The 21,061-nt window shown below is 54.2% G+C and overlaps 1 protein-coding gene and 1 pseudogene across 1 annotated transcript in view, besides 4 other annotated features; both read left to right on the forward strand.

The window, feature by feature from the left end:
• Window positions 1,869–2,245, forward strand: RPS15AP32 (ribosomal protein S15a pseudogene 32; annotated as a pseudogene).
• Window positions 4,537–21,061, forward strand: part of DTX1 (deltex E3 ubiquitin ligase 1) — a 41,296-nt gene continuing 24,771 nt past the window's right edge. Inside the window, exons 1-2 of the mRNA NM_004416.3 lie at window positions 4,537–4,751; window positions 5,256–6,258. Of these exons, the coding sequence (NP_004407.2) occupies window positions 6,000–6,258 (259 nt within the window). The 5' untranslated portion in view covers window positions 4,537–4,751; window positions 5,256–5,999. The remainder of the gene's footprint in view (window positions 4,752–5,255; window positions 6,259–21,061) is intronic.
• Window positions 5,775–6,563: an enhancer, noted in NCBI's record as "H3K27ac-H3K4me1 hESC enhancer chr12:113495773-113496561 (GRCh37/hg19 assembly coordinates)". NCBI's record gives its function as "activates a minimal SCP1, AML or CMV promoter by ChIP-STARR-seq in primed H9 embryonic stem cells {active_cell/tissue: H9 hESC(primed)}" and the evidence as "EXISTENCE:reporter gene assay evidence [ECO:0000049][PMID:30033119]".
• Window positions 13,075–13,633: an enhancer, noted in NCBI's record as "H3K4me1 hESC enhancer chr12:113503073-113503631 (GRCh37/hg19 assembly coordinates)". NCBI's record gives its function as "activates a minimal SCP1, AML or CMV promoter by ChIP-STARR-seq in naive H9 embryonic stem cells {active_cell/tissue: H9 hESC(naive)}" and the evidence as "EXISTENCE:reporter gene assay evidence [ECO:0000049][PMID:30033119]".
• Window positions 13,118–13,318: a silencer, noted in NCBI's record as "peak1968 fragment used in MPRA reporter construct". NCBI's record gives its function as "represses an SCP1 promoter by STARR-seq MPRAs in K562 erythroleukemia cells {active_cell/tissue: K562}" and the evidence as "EXISTENCE:reporter gene assay evidence [ECO:0000049][PMID:32103011]".
• Window positions 14,875–15,375: an enhancer, noted in NCBI's record as "H3K4me1 hESC enhancer chr12:113504873-113505373 (GRCh37/hg19 assembly coordinates)". NCBI's record gives its function as "activates a minimal SCP1, AML or CMV promoter by ChIP-STARR-seq in naive H9 embryonic stem cells {active_cell/tissue: H9 hESC(naive)}" and the evidence as "EXISTENCE:reporter gene assay evidence [ECO:0000049][PMID:30033119]".

Raw genomic sequence — 21,061 nt, forward strand, 5'->3', positions numbered from 1 at the left:
GTGCTCACCTGGAACCAGCCTCTGCCTGGTGATGGGGAGACACTGCTCCCAGGAACCATGACCTGCACACATGGCCACGAGAGCAGTGCCCACCTTAACCTTGGGCCTGCAGACCCTCCTCGCTAAGCAAAGCCGGCTGTGGATGTCACCCTTCTGAGGCTTCTCCAATTCTACTGCCCATTCTCAGCAGGCAGCAAAAGACCTTTCACCACTCGCACCCCACCAGTGTCCTACAGGCCCAAGGAACACTCTGACTTCCAGGGGCCCCATTTCAGTCCCCAGAGACACCCAAACAGTCCTTCTCACTCTGTTTCCTGTTTTCCACTTAAACTTTTTCTCAACTGCTGAAGGGGAGGTCACAGCTGGTCTGCACAGAAGAATGTAGAGGGCTGGAGAGAAGGGCTCAAAAAAGCCTAACTCACTCGGCTCCACAGGCTGGGGACAGGGGTGGCATGTGTCTCCCAGGGCTCATACCCTAATGCACATGCCCCTAATACGGTCTTCAGTGTTACTCATCTTGTTTTGTGTCCCCTTCCAGACTCTCCTGTACCTAGACCAGGGCTGGACATACAGTAGGTACTCAATAAAGTCTAGTTAATTCCAGGCTCTTTCCAACACAAATCAAATCACATCAAATTTTTAGTAATTCCCATGACTCTTAGAATAAAATTGCAAACCCACACTGGGTCTTATAAGGCCCTGCATGGTAGCTCTGCCTCTTCTGGCCCCAGGCTCACCCCTCTTCTTTCTCAGTGGTTACTTGGTCTCCTTTCTGTTGCTTTAACACACCAAGCGCTTTCCCACCTCTGGGCCTTTGCACATCCCTGTTTCCTCTGATTTAATCATTCCCCCTCCTACCCCACTCAGCCACATTAAGACCTATGAATCCTTCAGGGAGTGGCTGAAACATCAACTCCTCTGAAAAGCCCTCCCTGATTCCTTAGACCTGATAAGACCCCTGTTAGATGTCCTCACGATATCCTGTACTTTTCCCTCATAGTCTTTGCAAAAGTTTGGAATTAGACTTTGTGTGATTCTTGATTCATGTCCGACTTCCTCACTAGACTCTGAGACCCAGGAGGGCAGGGACCATGCTGCTGGTGTCAGCTCTCTATCTCAGCACGTAGCCCAGTGCCTGGCACATAGGAGGGCATCTGGTATTTTTTGGATGAATGGATGGATGGATGGATGGATGAATAAGTGGATAAGAGGAAGGAAGGGGCCGGGTGCGGTGACTCATGCCTGTAATCCCAGCACTTCGGGAGGCCAAGGCAGGTGGATCATGAGGTCAGGAGATCAAGACCATCCTGGCCAACATGGTGAAACCCCATCTCTACTAAAAATATAAAAATTAGCTGGGCGTGGTGGCACGTGCCTCTAATTGCAGCTACTTGGGAGGCTGAGGCAGGAGAATCACTTGAACCAGGGAGTCAGAGGTTTCAGTGAGCTGAGATTGCGCCACTGTGCTCCAGCCTGGTGACAGAGCAAGATTCCATCTTAAAAAAATAAAAATAAAAAGAGGAAGGAAGGAAGGAAGGGAGAGATGGAGGAAGGGAAGCAAGGAAGGTGGGAAATTTCATACATGAATGTATAGATGAATGGATGAATAAATGGATAGATGGATTGATGGATGGATGATGGGTGGGTGGGTGTATGGATGAATGGATGATGGATGAGTGGGTGGATGGGTGAATGACTGGATGGATGGGTGGGTGGGTGGGTGGGTGGGTGGATGGATGGGTGGAATGGATGGATGGAGGATGGGTGGATAGATGAATGGATAGACGGGTGGATGGATAAGTGGATGGTGGATGGCAGAACAAAAAAAATGAGTTGGTCTCTTTCTGCCATCTTTCTGAGCTGCTATAATGGTGCATGTGAACGTCCTGGCCAGTGTTCTCAATAGCATCAACATGCTGAGAAGAGAAGCAAATACCAGGTTGTTTTAGGTTGTGTTCCAAAATCATCATCTAGTTTCTAAGTGTGATGATGAAGTTTAGTTTACATCAGTGAATTTGCAATCATCAATAATCACAGAGCTAGAAAAATCACTGTGGACCTCACAGGCAGGTTAAACAAGTGTACAGTGACAAGCCCCAGTTTGATGTGCAACTCAAAGATCTAGAAAAATGGTACCCCTATCCCCTTTGGTTTCATTGTCCTGACAACCTCAGCTGGTATCAGGGATTGCAAGGAAGCAAGACAAAAATACACAGGAGGGAAAATCCTGGGATTGTTTTTCTAGGGATGTAATAAATTCATATGAATAAAATGCCTCAATGGACCAAAAAAAAAAAAACAGTTCATGATTGATTGCTTTTGCTTTTGTCCTATTGACTTCCCCATTGGTATCTGAGCCATCCCTCCCATGAATTGTGGGCTCCTTGGTGGCCAAATTCCTTCCCTCTCCTTGGAATTCTTTTCTCCCCAAGTTCCCTGGGAGCAGAGTGTTGCATTCCCAGATGTTCCAAACCCAGTTGAGAGGGGCCATTAAGGGCCACTCTGCACCAGATCCTCAGCTGGGTGCCATCCAGTAGTCACTCAACAAACACAGAGGCAGCATGGTGCTATGGGAGGTGCAAAAGCATTTGGGACTCAGACCCTAGCTCTGCCACTTACTCCTTGTGGGAACTTGGGTAAGCTACTTAGCCTTTCTGAGCTTCAGGAGGTTTTTTGTTTCCTTGTGTAAAATGAGGACAACATTACCTTCCTTGTGGGGCAGTTATGAAGAGTAGTAAGTATTATTTAAGTGCCTGGCACATAATAGGCACTCAGTAAATGACACCCTTATGTAATGGGGCACCAGCCACACCACACCAAGATGAATATGATGGCTATCTCACTCTAGCAGGGACAGATTTCATTTAAGAGGCTAATTGTGATACAGGGTGTCATGTCAAGGTATGGGCAAAGGAACACAGAGGAAGATGGGGTGAATTCAGGAAAGGCTTCCTGGAGGAGGTGACATTTAATCAGACCTTAAATAGCATTCGACAGGAAGTCCAGAGACACGAGTTCTTCTTTCCAATTTGCTGCTAAATCACCATGCGACCTTGAGCCAATCTCTTCTCCACTGTGGGATCCCCAGATCCTTCTACAACATAAGCTGGTTGAGCACCTGCTCTGAATCCGTTCAGTCACAGTCTCCTGTGAGAAGAATCTGCTGACAGCCAGAGCCCTTCTTCCCAGACATACAAGACACACAATGCCTAGACACACAAGTTTGCCTGTAATGGGAGAGGGGGACTTCATGGACCCCAGAAGGCCATCCAGGGACCCTAGGCTAAAATCCCAGAACTCAGTGATCCTGTGGGAGTATCGTCAGACTTGGCCCTGCCCTATGCAAAGCCTCTCTCTTTAGTCTACAGCAGGTGAAAGCAAGCAGAATCATTGACCCAATCTGAAAAAGCCCATCCAACACTGGGCTGCAGGTCAGAGCAGGGGCCTGGGGAGGGGAGGTCCCTCCAGCTGGCCGGAGAGCCAGAGCTGGATTCTGGGAAAGCACCCCTGAGCAGCCTGCCCCTGACCCTGCCTAGTGTATCCCCATCTGCCCCGGGGAGGCAGGCGTGGGCTGCTCTGGGCAGGCGCCCAAACAGGCCACTGACCCCCGTCAGCCACCCAGGCTGGAGTTCCCGGACGCATCCTTCATCTTCCCCAATCTAAACACCCCCAGGCCCCAGGTGGTCCACCCCCCTCCCAGCCAATGTGTGTCTCAGCCGCATCCAGCTTGCTGGAGGACAGGGGGACTGGCCATCCCGTTAACACTTGAGCCGCTGCCATTTCCAGCCTTCCCTTCCATCCAACCAATGCTCACCCACCATTTATTGAGCACCAGTTGTTTGCAGGTGGCTGTGAATGACATGGCAGAGGGCCTGCCCTTCTCTTCCTCCAGGATCTCACCTCCTGGCCAGGGTCCCCTCCCCTGGTCCCACCCCTCTCACCTGGAGCAGGTGGGTGCTTTGGGGGAAGTGGGCTCAGGGCTGGGAACTGGGTACTGGCAGGAGATTCAGATCGGGGTTGGTGTCTGGGCATCGCTCTAAGCTTTTGTGATCCTGGGCCTGGCTCTTACTCTCTCTGGCTTCAGTCTCCTCATCTGTACTCTTCAGATTCCACGGTTCCAACTGAGTCTGAATCAGGCCTTGTCAGCACCCTCCCACCCCCAGGAATAGTTAGAGGAGGAAAGGAGGCTAGCTCTGAATGCTTCAAGATCTTTCTTTAGACAGTCTCTGGATCTTATTCATTCATTCAAGCATTTATTGAGCACCTATTCAGTGCCAGGCCCTGGACTGGGAGACTGGAAATAAAGATGACAAAGATTCAAGCCGGTGACTCCTAAACATCCCACTCCCTGCCTCACGCTCTGCTTGGGGTCAGAAGGCCCCTTGGGGTCTCGGGAGGGCCTGGCCGAGGATTTGGGGCGCCCCGAGACTCGCGTGTCAGCGCCGGTGGCGCTCAGGGCCGAGATCTGTCTCCTCCCCTTCCTCCTCCTCCGCCCCCTCCCCTCTCCCTCCCGGAGCACGGCCGAGGCCTCCTCCCACCCGCGAGATCCCGGCGGCCGCCAGCCGGCTCCTGCGTCCGTCCGTCGGCCGGGCAGTCTGTCCACGCGCGGAAAGCTCGGCGCGGCGGCCGAGGGGCCTGGGAGGGAACGGGCGCGGAGGCGGGACCGCGGCTCCCTCCCACTCCGGGGGGAGCCCAGGAGGCGGCGGTGCTGGAGCGCGAGCCGGAGCCGGAGCCGGAGACGAAGAGAGGCGGTGAGAACGCGGGTGCTTAGGGACCCCACCCCCGGCTCCCGCTGGGGGCCCGCGAGCGGCTCGGGGACGTCTGGGCTGGGGAAGCGGGGCTGTTACCCCCAGGGCGGGAGGCAGAGACGATCCAGCTCCTGGCTTCGCCCCCTCCGCGACGCGACCCCCGAGGGGCCCTGGGCCGCGCCTGCAGCGCCGCGCATCCCCGTGCTTCCCGGCGCACCCCAGCGCACCCGGCATCCCCCCGGCAGGGCGAGGGCCCCGGGGGAAGGGAAGGCTCCGGGAGCCAAGGAGGGCGCCCCCCAGGCGGAGAGTCTCGGAAAACCGCGCCCCCGGCCCCTGCCTTCCCTCCAGGCCTGCCCCAAGGGAAAGCGGGCGGGGCGACCCCGTACGCCCCCCTTGCTGTCCCCCTTCGGTTCCCCATTGTTCTCAGCCGAATGCTCTCCTGGGAAGGGGGGAGGGGGTGCTGCGCTCTCCTCTTAAAGGGCCCTCTCCCCTCTTGTCTCCTGGCAGGTCGCGAGCACGAGTGGGGTGGGGCGTGCCCACGGGCCCCCGCCCCCCTCGTCCCCCTCGTCCCCCAGCCCAGCTCCGGAGCCGCAGTCCAGGCGCGCCGCCCGAGGGTCCACGCCGCACCCCTCCCCCGTGCGTTCTGCGGCCACCCAGGCCTTCCAGGACACCGTGGAGAGGGAACAAGGGGGCAGGGACGCCCCCTTCGGCAGGAGCCGTCGGAGAAGGGGGCCCAGACCGGAGGGAGGCGAGAAGCCCCACTGAAGCCGGGCGCAGGGTCTGGGACGCAGTTGGGAGTGCAAAGGGCTGGCTGAGAGCCGCAGGAGCAGCAGGCTGTGGCCCAGGCCTCCTGGGTGACAGGCCCTGTCTGGCGGGGAAGAGGGACCAAGAGACAACACGGAAGAGGCTGGACCTCGAACAGGGGCGGCTGCCTCACTCCCTACCTGAGCCAGCCGAGGGGGCCAAGGACTTTAGAGCTGTTTCCTCCGGCATAAGAGAGACACTTGCTTTCCAGGGCAGCACCCTTTATCGGAGAAGGCTCTACAGGGAAGGGGTCTTTGCAGCCTGGATGGCCATCCCACATTCCTTTAACGGAGGTCTCTAGGCCTCAGAGAGAACCCAGAGTTAGAAAGGAGGCCAGACGGTCCTTGCTGTCCCCCTGGGGAGAGAGGAAGTTGCCGCCTGCTGCCAGGCCCAGGAGGAGCTGGGCCTGCAATAGTGGGGGACCTGGCCCCTGAGGCAGTGGCGGCCATGTCACGGCCAGGCCACGGTGGGCTGATGCCTGTGAATGGTCTGGGCTTCCCACCGCAGAACGTGGCCCGGGTGGTGGTGTGGGAGTGGCTGAATGAGCACAGCCGCTGGCGGCCCTACACGGCCACCGTGTGCCACCACATTGAGAACGTGCTGAAGGAGGACGCTCGCGGTTCCGTGGTCCTGGGGCAGGTGGACGCCCAGCTTGTGCCCTACATCATCGACCTGCAGTCCATGCACCAGTTTCGCCAGGACACAGGTGAGCAGACACCCACCCCATGCCACCCGCCCCGCCGAGCCATCACTACCTTGCAGCGTAGGATGCTGAAAATCCCAGTAAATCTGCTGATGCCAAATCCCTTCCCCATCTCCCTGCCTCACCTCCAGAAAAACAGGGCAGTCTAACCTTGTCCAGTTTAAGACTTGGATTCCAATGCAGCCTCTGAGCAAGCTGTAGGGCCTTGAGCAAGTTGCATCATCTCTCTGAGCCTCAGTTTCCTCATCTGCAAAATGGGTAGATCAATATCTCTCACAGCTGAGTGAGGATTAAATAAAATTGTGCTCACTGAGCACAGAACCTAGAACAGCAGTAGCATGGGATTGTAGAATAAGGGCTTTACATGCACTTCCTCATTTGATTTTTCCCAAGAATCACAGGCAGTAAGTCTGTGTATTGTTGTATTATTATGAGTCCCATTTTATAGATGAAGAAACCGAGTCTCCCAGAAGCTGAGTGATTTAAACTCAGAGCTGGGATTTAAACCCAGGCGGTTGAGTTCCAGAACCAAAGTTCTTAACTGGTATCCTATACTGGCTCCAAGTGTTGGTTTGTGGGGTGGAGTCGTGCTGGTGGTAATTAATTGGGGATGGGGGGCGTTGGTGGTGTTGATGGTGGGGTGAGGTGGCAATGATGGAGGAGACAGTGTTAGCGGTTGTGTTGGTGGTGACTCAGTGATAGTATTGATGGTGGTGGGGTCTTGGTGACAATGGAGGGATGGATGATGGTGACGTGGCAGTGTTGGTGGTGATGTCAGTGATAGCGTTAACCATGGGATTCAGTGGTGTTGGTGACATTGATAGTTGTGTTGGTGGTGGTGCTGGAAGTGGTGTGATGGGGTGGTGATGATGGAGAAAATGAGAGAATGATGTTGGTGGCAGTCTTCGTGGCCATGTGGTGTGGCTGGTAGCCCTGTGTGTGGCTGTTACTTAGTGGTATTGGTGATCCTGTTGTGGTTGTAATGATGGTGATGTTGATGGTTGCGTTGGTGGTAATGTGATGGCTGATGATGGAGATAAAATCGATGAGGTCCCACTCTCAGGCCTACTCTCTTTTGTTCTGGAGATTTGTCATCGTTGGGGAGATCTCCCTGAGTCATTGCCCGGTGGTATCTGTGACAAGCTCCATGGGCAGTGGGGACTGGTGGGGTCCTGCCGTGCAGAAGCAGCCTAGAAATCCTTGGCATGTTTGACCCCCCAAGGACCAGCTGATGGGGTTTGGGGAAGTTCCTATGAATCCCTGGATGACAGAACCACACGTAATAACCCCAGGCTGGTAGGATGCTCGCTTTCCCTCTAGAGCTGTGCCAACCAATATGTTAGCCACCAACCACATGTGGCTACTTAAATTTACATTAATTAAAACTAAGTAAAATGTAAAATCCAGTTCTTCAGTCTCACTAGCCACACTTCAAGTGCTCATAGCCACATGTGTCTTGTGGTACCTTGTGGGCCAGTGTAGATCCAGAACATTGCATTGTTGCAGAAAGTTCTATTACACCATGCTAGTTAGAAAGGAGGCCAGCCTTTCTAACTAGCACAGTCCAATATAAGTTTCTGCAATGATTGAACTTTCCAATAGTCCGGAACATTGCTAGGTACCCACAGAGTGCTTACCATGTCTGGAAACACAGGCGAATTCATAACAAATGGCTTATTGATGGTACAGATTAGTACATCTATGTTTCCGTAACTCCAGGCATTGACCACCATCACTGATGGTGCCAATTGTTCATGCATTCCATCATATGATTATTTATTGATCTCTGCTGTGTGTCAATTTCTGTGCTAAGCACTGGAGTACAGCAGGGAGCAAGACAAAGTCATCAGTCGAGGTCTTGTGCTGGAGGACCTACACTGAAGGTCCTGGTGTGGTCAGGGAGCAAGCAAACATATCACCACAGAGACAATCAGTGGCAGATCCGAGAGCATGAACTAAACCTGGCCCAGAGGTACTCAGGGAAGGCTAGCCTGAGAAAGTGATGTTTGAACAGAGATCTGAAGAATGAGTGAGGGTGCCAGTGTCCCAGGCAGAGGGCACAGCCAGTGCAAAGGCCCTGGGGTAGGAAGGGGCAGAGGACATTTAAGTCCGTTCTGTTTGGGATGCATCTCCCACCAAGGGGAAGATGGTGCAAGATGGCAGCTGAGCAAGGACCGGATGTACAGGCCTGGACAGCCACGCAAAGAACTTTGAATTTGATCCAGAGAGTAGAAGTCATCATTAGCTCCATGTGCCCATTCTTCCAGAGAGGCACCAAGGACCTGATGGAAGAAGGGGAAGTGTTGCACATTACCCGCCCCATTCTGTTTTCTCCTAGGGGTAGAGGGCAGGGCTGTGAGAGCAGAAGTGGGTAGGTGTCACTCCTTGCTAGGAGGTCTGGTGTTCTGCAGGTTCAGAGCTAATGCTGGGTGTAGAGATCTTCCGGGACCTAGCTGGGTTGGGTATGGGCGGCAGGGTCCTTAGAAGCAGGGACAGACTCCCCACAAGGCTGCCAAGTTGGCAACTTTACCTTTGATCCTCTTATCTTTGGGGGGACCCCCATTTCTATTCCCAGCATCCCCTTATGTTCCCGAGTCCCCAGACTTGCACACTCCCCTTTCATCAGGCCCCATTCTCTCAATAGTACCCCTTTTATGGTTCAGCCTCACTGGATCCCCCAGAAGTTCAGCTCTGGTCACTTCCCCTCTCCCTCTCTCCAGAGCTGTTCACTCCACACCTGCCCCCTGTTTGCCGGAAAAGGGAAAAAAAACACTCATTCCTAAATGGACTCCTGGGAGCCTGCCAGGAACCCCCTCCCACCCCAACCAGAGAGGGAGGAAGGCCTGGAAACCTATTGCGATTGGCAGGAGACCTCAGCTGCCTGGGAACCTGCTGGAGAGTGGGGCAAGAGGCCTCCTCACCAGATATGTGAGGGTTTTTCCCTCGCTTTACCCAGGAGCAAAACAATGTCAAGAAAGGACGTCTTGTCCTCATTGGTAACGCACTGGAAAAGAGCCTCAACCGGCAGGGAGCAGACCTGAGTGCCAACGGTGTGACCTCAGGCCTCTCCAGGTCTCAGTTTCCACATCCGTGAAATGGGTGAGAGGATCACCTCTCCAGCAGGGTTGTCGGGTTGAACAGAGAGAATCTGGCTGATTTTATCCCACAAACATCAACTAATTATCTACTGTGCATCTAGCACGTGCTCACCACTGTGGGTACAAGAGAGACAAGCAAAAGATCTTAAATCTTTTTTTTTTCTTCTTTTTTTGAGACAGTGTCTCACTCTGTCTCCCAGGCTAGAGTACAGTGGTGTGATGTCGGCTCACTGCAGCCTCTTTCCCCGGGTTCAAGTGATTCTCGTGCCTCAACCTCCCAAGTAGCTGGCATTACAGGCAAGCTACCACATACCACACCCGGCTAATTTTTGTATTTTTAGTAGAGATGGGGTTTTACCCTGTTGGCCAAGCTGGTCTTGAACTCCTGGCCTCAAGTGAGCCGCCCGCCTCGGCCTCCCAAAGTGCTGGGATTACAAGCGTGAGCCACTGTGCCTGGCTGTGAATCTTGAAAATATTATATTTCATACACACACACACACACACACACACACACACACACACACTCCAACATAATGCTGTAAAACCCAAAACTCATGTGTATGTGCTGAAATCAACACAAGCTTCTGTCTAGATTTTCTAATTGTAAAATTCTTGATATGTTCATTGAAGCTGAACTTGAACTTTGAGGGGAGACTGCCCTAGCTTTGCTAGTTTCCCAATGCAGGAGCTGGCTGATTTTTTTCTAATAGCATCAGATAATAAATCTTTTAACTTTGTGGGACCTGCAGTCTCTGTTGTAACTATTCAACTCTATCGGAGCAGAAAAGCAGCATAGACAATATGTAAGTGAATGCGTGTGGCTGTGTTCTAATCAAACTAGTTGTGGACACAGAAATTTGAATTTCATATCTTTTTCACGGGTCATGAAATATTCTTTTTTTTCCCCCAACCATTTAAAAATGTAAAAGCCATTCTTACTTCCTGAGCTGCACGATAGCAGATGGTGGGTGGATTTGGCCTGTGTGCTGCAGGTTCACTGACCCCTGCCCCACATGTTCTGAACCTGAGCATGGGGTAAGACCGTGCTGGTGCCACAGGACACCCAGCATGGCTTATCCACCCCTTGTGGTGTGTACCAAGGTACACGTGCGTGTGCGTACACACACACAGCACCAGTCTGCTCGCACAATGCCGACACACACATGCCCTGTGTATGTGCCTCCCGTGCAGTGCAGCCAGCGGAAGAAAGCCCCGGTGTCAGGCTGGGGCCACAGGGGAGAAGCCAGGCTCTGGCCCCACAGGGGCTGCGGTTTGTTCAGCCGTGCCCCCTCACCTTTCCCCTGCTGGGCTGTTTTCACTGCTCCCTGCAGGGGGTGAGGTTCCCTTTGAAGCCCTCCAGGTCCAGAGCCCAGAGTCTGGACTGGAAACTGGAGCCCCTCCACGGGGAGGCCTAATGCTGTGACCCTGAGCTGGATGATGTTAGATCAATCACGGTGGTGTCCCAGGCAGAGGGTTGGAGGGAGAGTCAGAGCTGGGCGAGGGATGGGTCGCTTGCTCGCTTCGCAGTACTGAGCCAAGTGCCCGGTTTCCCTCAAAGCTTTCTTTCTTCATTTCCCTCTGTCTCCAACCGTCCCTCCCACAGACAAAGATTGCCACATATGGGAAGCCCAAGGCCGAAGGGTATGCTCAGCTGGTGGCTGGGCTGGGCCCAGGAGCCATCAGGGTCTTGGGGTGAGGGGGTTGGCTGCCACTGGCAGTCGGGGAAAGGTTTGAGAATGGCTTTCTGCTCCCAGAGAAGAAGCCACATCTTCCCTGGGGGGTCATTTACATCCCCTGCCACTGGGACAGCCGCCTCCGAGGGCCTCACCCAGACCCTGAATTTCCCACCCAGTTCACACAGCTGGACAGAGGTGTAACTCAGCCACTTCCGCAGAAGCTCCCAGCTCGCTCCCTGGCCTCATATGACTGGAGCTGGGGAGGGGCACCTATCTGCCTGGTATCTCCCATGTCGCTCTCCATGTGCTGCTGGAGGGGTGCATGGCAGCCTCCTGCCCCTTCTGCTGATGGGATAGCTGAGGCCGAGGGATGCCAGCTGGGGACCATCCAAAGATGCCATACCCGAGGCTGCAAGCCTGGCCTTTTCTGGTGCCCCCAAGCTGGCCAACAGGCTGGAGTGGCAGGTGGTGGCTGGTTCTGGGATCTTCCAGCCTGCCTCCTTCCCTGGAAACCTTGGGCTTCACTCAGCCCTGGTCCCTGCCATGAGAGGAAGCACTATCTGAGGACACTTAGGCTGGAGACCCTTAGGCTGTTACCACCCAGATGGGAGGAGCTTTTCCCATCACCGGGGAAAACACCTCCAGAATTAGACACCAACTGGGGACAGTGAGGCCCAGAGAGGGTGAGTGACTTCCCCAAGGTCACACAGCCTACCAGTCCTAAGCTAGAGCCCAGGCCCCCCAGACAGGCCTTAGGGATAGAAAACAAGGTGACATTTAATGCCAGGGCTGAGAGAACCCCTTCCCCCTTCCCCCTTCTCCCTTGAGAGCGCTCTTGGGGCTTGTTGTCAGGGTCTAGCCCAAGGCAGGGACAGCCTGCACTACCCTGGAGGCCTCCAGGGCTCAGCTCCTGGTTACAGGACCCTTTGGGACCCTCTCTCCAGCCTCCTCACTGGAGACTAGGGCTGGGCCTGATGCCAGGGGCAAGAAAGACTATGTGTAGGGGCAGGGAGCGGCCCATCTCTGGTAGCAGCAGGTCCAGCTAATCCATATGTGGGTGCTCCCCAACCACCAGTCACGCTGTCTGTATTTCTACTATTGCAGACCCATGGTCTCTGGCTGCTTGGCTAACTCCAGAAGCCTGTTTTGAAACTAAATTCATCGCTCGTATTTGGTAGTCATTGGTGGCTTCTCAGTACCAGGTCCTGGGCTGGGTCTTGGGGACTCAGAGAGAAGGGCAAAATCCATTTCAGAGTCTAATCTATCCATTTCAGATCAGTTTCAGAGTCTAGTGAAGGTGAAGGCAAATGCATATCATGGAAATAGCCTTTGAACCCTCTGACTCATAAGGACAACAGATACAGACCTAAAACCCAGCTTGGCCCCTTGCTGGCTGTGTGACCATGGGCAAATTCCTTAACGTCTCTGAGTTTATTTCCTCCTCTGTAAAATGGGGATAAGAATAGTCCCTAGCTGGGAGGGTTGTCATGAGGACATAATGAGATACATAAATGAGATATGTAGATAAAAGCTTGGAGGATACTACTTTGCACGTAGTAAGCACTCATGCTCGAGGAAGAAAAAGATTTAAATGCCTCACTAGGCAGATGCACGGTGCCTTCAGCCATGGGATGTGCATGGTGTATGCCTGGAGCCTCTGAGAGGAGGACTTCCTGGAGGAGGAGTCCTTTGAGAGTGTGTGATTTGGGTAAATAGAATGATAGGAGGAACACTTACAGGTGGAGGAAACAGCAGGGGTCCTTCAGCAGGGTCCTGGAGGAGGGTCTCAGGCCTGGGTGGCAGAGGGAGGCTGTGATGGGAGATAGGGGATGGGTAGAGGAGGCCTCGTGGGGCCCACTGGGGCCTGGCAGGCTGGGCTGCCAGCTGCTGCCCTTTAGCAGCCAGGCCCCGGGGGACTCACAGCCACGCTGCAGGACCAGCCTCATTAATCACGGGCCCTTGGAGCTGGAGCAGGTGGGGCAGGGGCAGCCTCAGGCACTTCCTACAGTCTGTCTGGGTTCCCTTCACCCAGCCAGCGGGTGTCACCCCATTTTACACATAGTAAAGCTGAAGCTCAGAGGGTGGGGAGCCGCCTGCCGACGCTGAGAAGAGACGGGTCTGAGATCAGATCCAGGTCTGCAGCTGGGTGCGCACGGCCCTTCCCAGGCTCGCCCGGGCCACCGAGTACCTTGGACAGCACCATCAACGACCCGCCCGCGCCTTCCGGGCTGGGGGTGGGGATGCCCGGGACAGACCCCCTCGCAGCCCTCTCCCTCTCCTTCTCCTCCCCTCACCCCTTTCTCCTCCTTCTTCCCTCCCTCCTCCTCTCCAGCTTCCTCCCATCCCCCGCCTCATTCTTCCAAAGGAGCTGCGGAGTCTGACCTGGAGAGGAAGGAGGAGATGGAAGCTGTGATGGGAAGCGTGGGGGCTGGAGTAGGGGAGGTGATGCGGAAGTGACAGGTAGCGGGGCTGTGGAGGGGATGGTGAAGAAGGTGGTAAGGAGTGAAGCGTGAGGGGTTGGGAGGGGAGATGATGGAGGGTGTGATGAGAGGGTGACGAGGAGGGGCCAGGACGGGGAGGCCACGGGGAGGCCAAGGGGTTGGGGCAGGACTGGTCACAGTGGCTCCAAGTGCCCATTCAGGCAGTAGGCAATGGGGTTGAGGTCCCTAACTCTCTCTCCAGTGTGATGTTCTTGGTGCATGGGGGTGCCTGGGGTGCTCCCAGGCCTCCGCCCGCCACCTCTGTCTCTCCCTGGGCCTCCATCCTTCCACCTGGCTCTGGAATCACAACCGGTGGTAGCCAGTCCCCAGGACAGCTCCAGTCCCTTAGATAGTCACCCCCATGAGCCCACCCAGCCTCTGGGTTGACACAGACACCCCCAGCAGCCCCTAGCTGCCTCTGGCTGACATCAACTGAGGACATGGGGCCTGGAACCTGGAAACAGCTACCTCGGGGAATGCTGTTGGTGAGGGCCAGGCTCTGGGTTCCCATCCCAGCTGCTTACTAAGAATCATGGGGTGTGTAGGCCGGGTGTGGTGGCTCACATCTATAATCCCAGCACTTTGGGAGGCTAAGGTGAGTGGATCACCTGAGGTCAGGAGTTCGAGACCAGCCTGGCCAACATGGTAAAACCCCCTCTCTACTAAAAATACAAAAATTAGTGGGCATGGTGGTGGGCGCCTGTAATCCCAGCTACTCGGGAGGCCAAGGCAGGAGAATCACTTGAACCCGGGAGGTGGAGGTAGCAGTGAGCTGAGATTGAGCCATTGCACTCCAGCCTGAGTAACAGAGTGAGACTCCGTCTCAAAAAAAAAAAAAAGAATCGTAGTGGGTGGGGAGATTTGTGACCTTAAGTAAACCACACTCCCTCCCTGAGCCTCTGAGCCTCTGTTTCCTCACCTGTAATATGGACCTGATGATAGTACTGAACTTGTGTGATTGTGGTCACTATTCATTCATTCATCAGGAGTTTCATGAGCACCTACTGTGTGCCAGGCACTGTCCGGGCACTAGGAATGTCACAATCAACAGGACAGACACAGAAGCCCTCAAGGTGCTTCTGTTCTGGGGGTGAGGGGTGGAGTGATGATGGGTGTGATGCAGGAGGCCAGGCGCCAAGGAAGTCCCAGCATATAGGACTGTCCCCTACCTTGGAGCCCAGGAGCTGCCGGGCTAGGAGCTGAGTCTCCTCTAGGTCCCGCATAGTTGTGTCCTTGCTCGGCCACCCTGGCCAAGCGCCTCTCCCTCTCTGGGCTCCTTCCATCATCCCTCTGGAGCTGCTCCAGGCTGCTACTGCTGCCTGCACAGACAGCAGTGGCAGGCCGGTGACGGGGTGCATGAGGGAGTCTGGCGCTGGGCCCTGGAGCTGAGCACCCTGAGATGCAGAACAAAGGACGAGGCAATCAAAGGAGGCTGCCAGGACAGTCCTGCCAGCAGCTGCAGCACAGCCACCTCTTGTCCCGATGACCGACTGGGCCTTTGTCCCCTCCCCCTCCAACTGCAAGCAGAGCACGGTAAGAGGAAGCACAGAGTTTACCTGGAATACCACCTTCCCAGGGCCCTCCCCCTGGCTGGGGTAAGCATTGCCCTCCCCAGCTTCCTCTGTTCTAGGGGGCGAAGGTTCACTTGTTCCAAGGTGTTACTCACCTGGCCCTGTGGAAATGACAGTCAGGGAGCCTGGGTCCAAGGCCTGTCTCTAATTTGCCAGGTGATCTTGCCCAAGTTTCTCTCTGCAGCTCAGCTTACCCATCTACACAAAGGCTGCAAATTCAGATGCTTACAGGGCCTGGGCAACTAATAGAAGTGTGTGCAGTGTCTGGGAAGGCAGAGGTTTTTTAACTGTCTTGCTCTCCAGTGCCTGGTATGCAGCAGGTGCTCAATAAATACTTGAAGGCATGAATGGGGCCAGCATAACTCAGCTCCTGCTCACTGTTGCCAAGGAGGCCAATTGTTGTGGCCCCACCCTTGGATATCTGGGGATTTCTGAAATCTGGACTGGTGTGAATCTGCCCCAATTTTTAAATGTGAGGCCATTTGAGGTGGCTCATGCCTGGAATCCCAGCACTTTGGGAGGCTGAGACAGGAGGATCACTTGAGCACAGGAGTTTAAGACCAGCCTGAGCAATGTAGTGAAACCCCATCTCCACCAAATAAAAACAAAAAAAAAAATAGCTAGACATGATGGCACACACCTGTGATCCCAGCTACTCAGGAGGCTGAGGCTGGAGGATTGCTTGAGACCAGGAGGTGCAGGCTGCAGTGAGTTATCATGGCACCACTGCAATCCACCCTGGGCAACAGAGTGAGATCCTGTCTCAAAAAATAAATAAATAAATAAATACAGGTCACTATTTTTTAAATGTAAATAGCATGTGAACCAGAACAAAACCATATCCGCCCAGCTTGCAGTCTCCAGCCTAGTCATGAGCAGCATTCAGTTAGGTTCATTCAGATGTATTTGGTTATTCATTCATTTATTCATTCATCCAACATTTTGCAAGGACCTACCTCCCTGCACTCCTGACCACAGAGGGATGCCAAGGTGACTGTAAACCAGCCCAGCCTTGGAGGGGCTGCCAGGCCCGAAGGAACACAGACACCTCCGCACCTAGTGAGCTATGTGCTTTGATGGGAGCATTGCAGGCGCAAGGTGCTATGGAGTCCCCAAGGAGCGAGTGGTTTGCCCTAAGGATGGCAGAGAAGATTCCAAGAAGACAGAGTGCTTGTGCTGAGCCAGAAGATTGAGAAAGAACTCAGCAGGGAGGCCAGTGGGGTGGGGTGGGTAGGACACTCTAGACAGATGGAACAGCATATGCAAATACAGAGGCATAACCGCACACACGGTATGTTCAAAAAATAGCTGGAATTTTGGTGTGGTTAGAGTGTGAGGCTGTGCAGACAGCTTGTGATGGGCTTCAGAGGCTACTCTAAGGAGTTTAGACTGATTCCTAAGGGCACTAGGGAGCTATTGATAGCTGTGGAGCAGAGGAGTGACACAGTCCAGCCTTGAGTCTGTGAAAAATCCCCCCGGCGCCATGTGAGAATGCACTGAACATTGCAAAGGGTGGACACTGGGACATGGGGAGGAGGCCCCTGCAACAGTCCAGGCTAGCACTCTGGTGGCATGGGCCAGAGGGCTGACAGTGGAAGTCGGGGAAGTTCAAATCCTGACTAGATTCAATCTTCACTTAGTAGCCCAGTGGCTATGTGACTCTGGACTTCAGGCAAATTGCTTCACCTCTCTGTGCTTCACTCAGTGTTTGTACAAGACAGTGATCGTAATAGTTATCATTATCATATGTTTATTATCATTATTATCATAACAACCTGCCCCAGTCATTTTGTGGCTGAAGAGTTGACTTACACGAAGCATTTAGAACAGCGCCTGGCACATAGTAGGCCCTCTGGGAGTGTTTATTATCATTATTATTTTATTATTATTACAATTATGCCATTTCACAGATGAGAAAGGAGCAGTTTGGAGGGCTCAGGCTGTGGAGGACTGTCCAGCCCTCTGTCCCCTCCCCCTCCACTTCCTGCTTTGCTAGGGATCTGAATCCCCTGCTGGGTGTGTGGGAAGCCAGGTGACCAGAAAGCCCCCCATACAGCCCATGGCGTATGAGTGCCCGCCTCCGCCTGCCAGCAGCCTCCAAGGTGGTAGCCTCTCCGAGTGCCACGCAGCCCTTCAGCCTTCCTTAGGCAGCACTGCAGACCCCCTCTCCTCCCCTTGTCTCCCCACCACCCTGGCCTGGCTTCCAGCAGACCCTGGAGAACCTGGGCCAGCTTCAACCACAAGGAAACCACTAATGGGCCACAGCTTAGCCTGATGAATCCCAGAGGAGAGTTTGGAGGGAAACAGAACACTGCGGGATTATTGATCATGGGGCAGGAGCTGGTGAGGCAGCCTGGATCCACAGGCTGCAGCTCGAATCCCAGCCCAGCCGGTGCCCCCAGCCAGACTTCCACGTCTTCTTAGGGAGCCTCAGTCTCCCCATCTGTCCGATGGGGCTAATATTAGCACACACACCCCTGGGGCTGCTGTGAGGACTGGGAGATGATGTGTGTGAGCCCCTAGCACAGTTGCTGGCACTGCGGAGCATTCGGTAAGGTGTTGGGTGCCGCTGTTGTCCTTGTTGTAGGAGACAGGTGAGCAGCCATGCAGATGCCAGCTAAGGGGCTATTCCAGAAGGTCACATAGCAATCCAGGGTTGGAACCTCAGCCATGTCACTTACTTACCATGCAACCGCTGTGCCTCAGTTTCCTCCCCCAGAACATGGGCTCATGAGACTAAGTCAGAGGGAACAGCAAATGAAGCAAGGTGGCCTTGTGTAGGCTCCAGCTGGACCACTCACAGATGGCATCCGGTGTGCTCCTAACTGCTCCGTGCCTCTGTTTTCTCGCCTCTAAAATGGGGCAATAACACCCCCACCTCCTAGGGGTGCTAAACACACTCTTTCGCTTGAATGAGCTAAACACAGCCTGGGGCAGAAAAGTGTGCTCTCTGAGTGTGGATGGCTGTTAGTATTATGACTTCTGGGTTGGTGAAGGATTCAGTGAAGTCTCTGACTGGGGCCCAGCCACTGCCCAACCCCCGGTCACAGGCCTCAGCCTGTGGTGGGACTCCCCCAGCCTGACAGGATGTCCCATGACCGCCTCCCACGTGCCCCCTTCCCGTCAGGGTCTGGGTGCCCCCAAACTGAGATCACTTCCCTCCGGGAAGCCACCCCCAAAGGGAGGGGTTCCCTGCTGGGCCTTGAAGCTGGCCCAGCCCAGAGAGGAACCGTTTAGAGGCTGAGGGACCAGCAGGAGGAAGGCTCGGGGGCTCAGAACCCTCCCCCTTCTCCATGGAGTCAGCTGCTTCTTAAGGCCAAGAGGTGGGGGCTGAGGCACCCACATACCCACCTCTAGGCAGTGGGTTCAGATCGGGACCATGCTCTAGGGCAGAAACCTCACACGGCTAAACAACGGAAAGTAAAGCTGAAGTAGTGAGCTCTCCATCGCTGGAAGTATCCTAGGCTGTGCTACCACTTGGTGAGGTTGAACCCCATGGAACCAGTCCAACCTGGGCCTGCCTTTACTCCACGAGTGTGGCATCATTCCCAGCCCTCTGCTCTCACCCTCCCAAGAGTTCACCTCTCCGGGCCTCAGTTTCCTCATCTGTAAAATGGAAATAGTCCTGGTCCCTCCCTGGAAGCAATGGTGTGAGGATGGAATGAGTGAGTGCAAGGAGAGTGCTGAGTGCAGCATGTGCCATACAGTAGGTGCTCAATAAATGCTAGCCTTGGTTTCCCTGATTCTCCATGATGGTCTCAGCCTCCAGGTTTCCAGCTTCCCTTTCTTTTCATCTCTCAAGCTCGTTCTATCTCTGACTCCAGCTCTCTTGGTATCTGCCTCAGTTTCCCATGTTGGCCTTGGCCTGTCTCTGACAGTCTCTTTGATCATGTATGTCTCTCTCTGTCTCTCTCCATCCTGCTGTCACCCTGTCTCTGCCCCAGGCATGAAGCAGTCACTGGCAGCTGTGGCTGTGGCCGCCCCCACACCCGGTCTCAGGGGCCCAGCTTGTGCAGTCCTCCAGCTGACACTGACCAAAGCCCCTTTCTCCAGTTCAGCTGGAAGAAGCCTGGAATTTTTCTGCCAAACATTTTTAAGCAACTAGGGAGGAGAGAGAAGGGGAAGACAACAAAGGCAGAGACACAAAAACAGGCCGAGGCAGAGGCACGGAGCCCATGTTTGTCACAGGCCCCTAACTGCCTGGGGGACGCAGACCCTGTGGCCAGCACAGCAGGGTGCCCTGAAGGCCAGAGTGGGGTGTGGTCTGCTCTGGGCCACCAGCCTGAGGCCCAGCCTCTTTCCCAGGCTGAAGAAACTCCAGCCCCTTCTTAGACCCATTGTTCTGGCTGAAAATCTAGGCCATGGCCACTGCGGAGGAGAAGGAGCATTTCCACCACTGCTCCCTTAGAAATCTTGAGATCGAAGTCCAGGCAGGTCACCAAGGAACCAGCTGCCCACCCCCTCGGCCTGGTCCATGGCCAGCCTGGGCCGGAGAGGCGGACGGATGGGCAGGCGGGCAGCGGCGGGCGCTGCGGGGTGCAGGGCCCAGCGGGGAGGACAGCAGCTGCCCTAATTACTCCTGCTCTCCAGGTTCCAATCTTGTTTCAAAAGGACTCCAGGGACACAGCCTTTAATAACTACCAGTAAACAGGCAGGAAAATCGATACCTGGTAAATAGAGCCCTGGAGAGAGGGAGGCCTGGGCTAGCTGGCCCTGACGGGCTCCCAGAGTCCTTTGCTGCAGAGCTGGCCAACGCTGATGTTGAGAATCCTCCTCCTGGCCTGAGGGTCCTCCCCAGGGACCCCTCGAAGCTTGGCCTCCACCCTGGGGGCTGCTTGCTCTCCAATCTCCACTCCCTCTCCATCAAGCCCAGATTTTCCTCTTTCCCACTCCTCCAAGTGCCAAGTAGGTTGCCCGTCTCGCTTGCAGATGTCTTCTTTGCACCAGGCTTTGTGCCTGGTGCTCCAAACATAGTTGCATATCTGACCTAGTAGTCTTTGTCCTCCCAAAAGTGATCTACCAATGAGGATGACTAAGAACAAAAACAAATAATGACAGTGTGAGGACAGACATGCAATAAAAGACTGCTGCGTTTGCCAACTATAGCAACAGAACAGAGAAGCCCATGTTGGAGGAGATGAGCACATGGAGGGCTTTGCTGGATGAATAGGAGTTTGCCAAGTGAACAAGGGCTGGGGGAGGATGAATGTGGGTAACATATGTAATATCAGCCATTGTAGCTGTATTCATTGAGTGCTTACTAAATGCTAAGTGTTCTGCTAAGCACCTTTGCCTATACGTTATCTCATTTTGTTTCCCCAGTAATTCTTTGGGGTAGATATTAATACCCCCATTTTATAGATAAGGGCACTGAGGCTATGTGTGGTACCAGCCAGGATTTGCACAAGACCTGAGAGATTTTCTTTTTTTTTTTTTTTTTTTTTTTTTGAGACAGAGTCTTGCTTTGTCGCCCAGGCTGGAGTGCAATGGTGTGATCTCAGCTCACTGCAACCTCTGCCTCCTGGGTTCAAGCGATTCTCATGCCTTAGCCTCCTGAGTAACTGGGATTACAGGCACGTACCACCACGCCTGGCTAATGTTTGTATTTTTTAGTAGAGATCGGGGGTTTCACCATGTGGGCCAGGCTGGTCCCGAATTCCTGACCTCAGATGATCCACCCGCCTCAGCTTCCCAAAGTGTTGGGATTACAGGCATGAGCCACTGCACCTGGCTCGACCCGAGAGACTTCTGAGTTGCTTGAATCACTTCACTCTGCACCTCCTATCCCGGCCCCTCCCCTGCCGAGCTCAGGATTTGGCACACAGGGGAAGTTAAATAAGGCGGGTTCCCATTGCTTCCCTTCCTATCCTGCACATTTTTCAGGTAATACACTGCCTTCACCTCACCAGGAGCTGAATGGTGGTACTTCAGGCACATCAGCCTTGAAGATCAGTCATCACAACCCCTCATTTTGCAGGTGG

The sequence above is a fragment of the Homo sapiens genome, chromosome 12 (assembly GCF_000001405.40).
Source record: "Homo sapiens chromosome 12, GRCh38.p14 Primary Assembly".
NCBI lineage: Eukaryota > Metazoa > Chordata > Mammalia > Primates > Hominidae > Homo > Homo sapiens.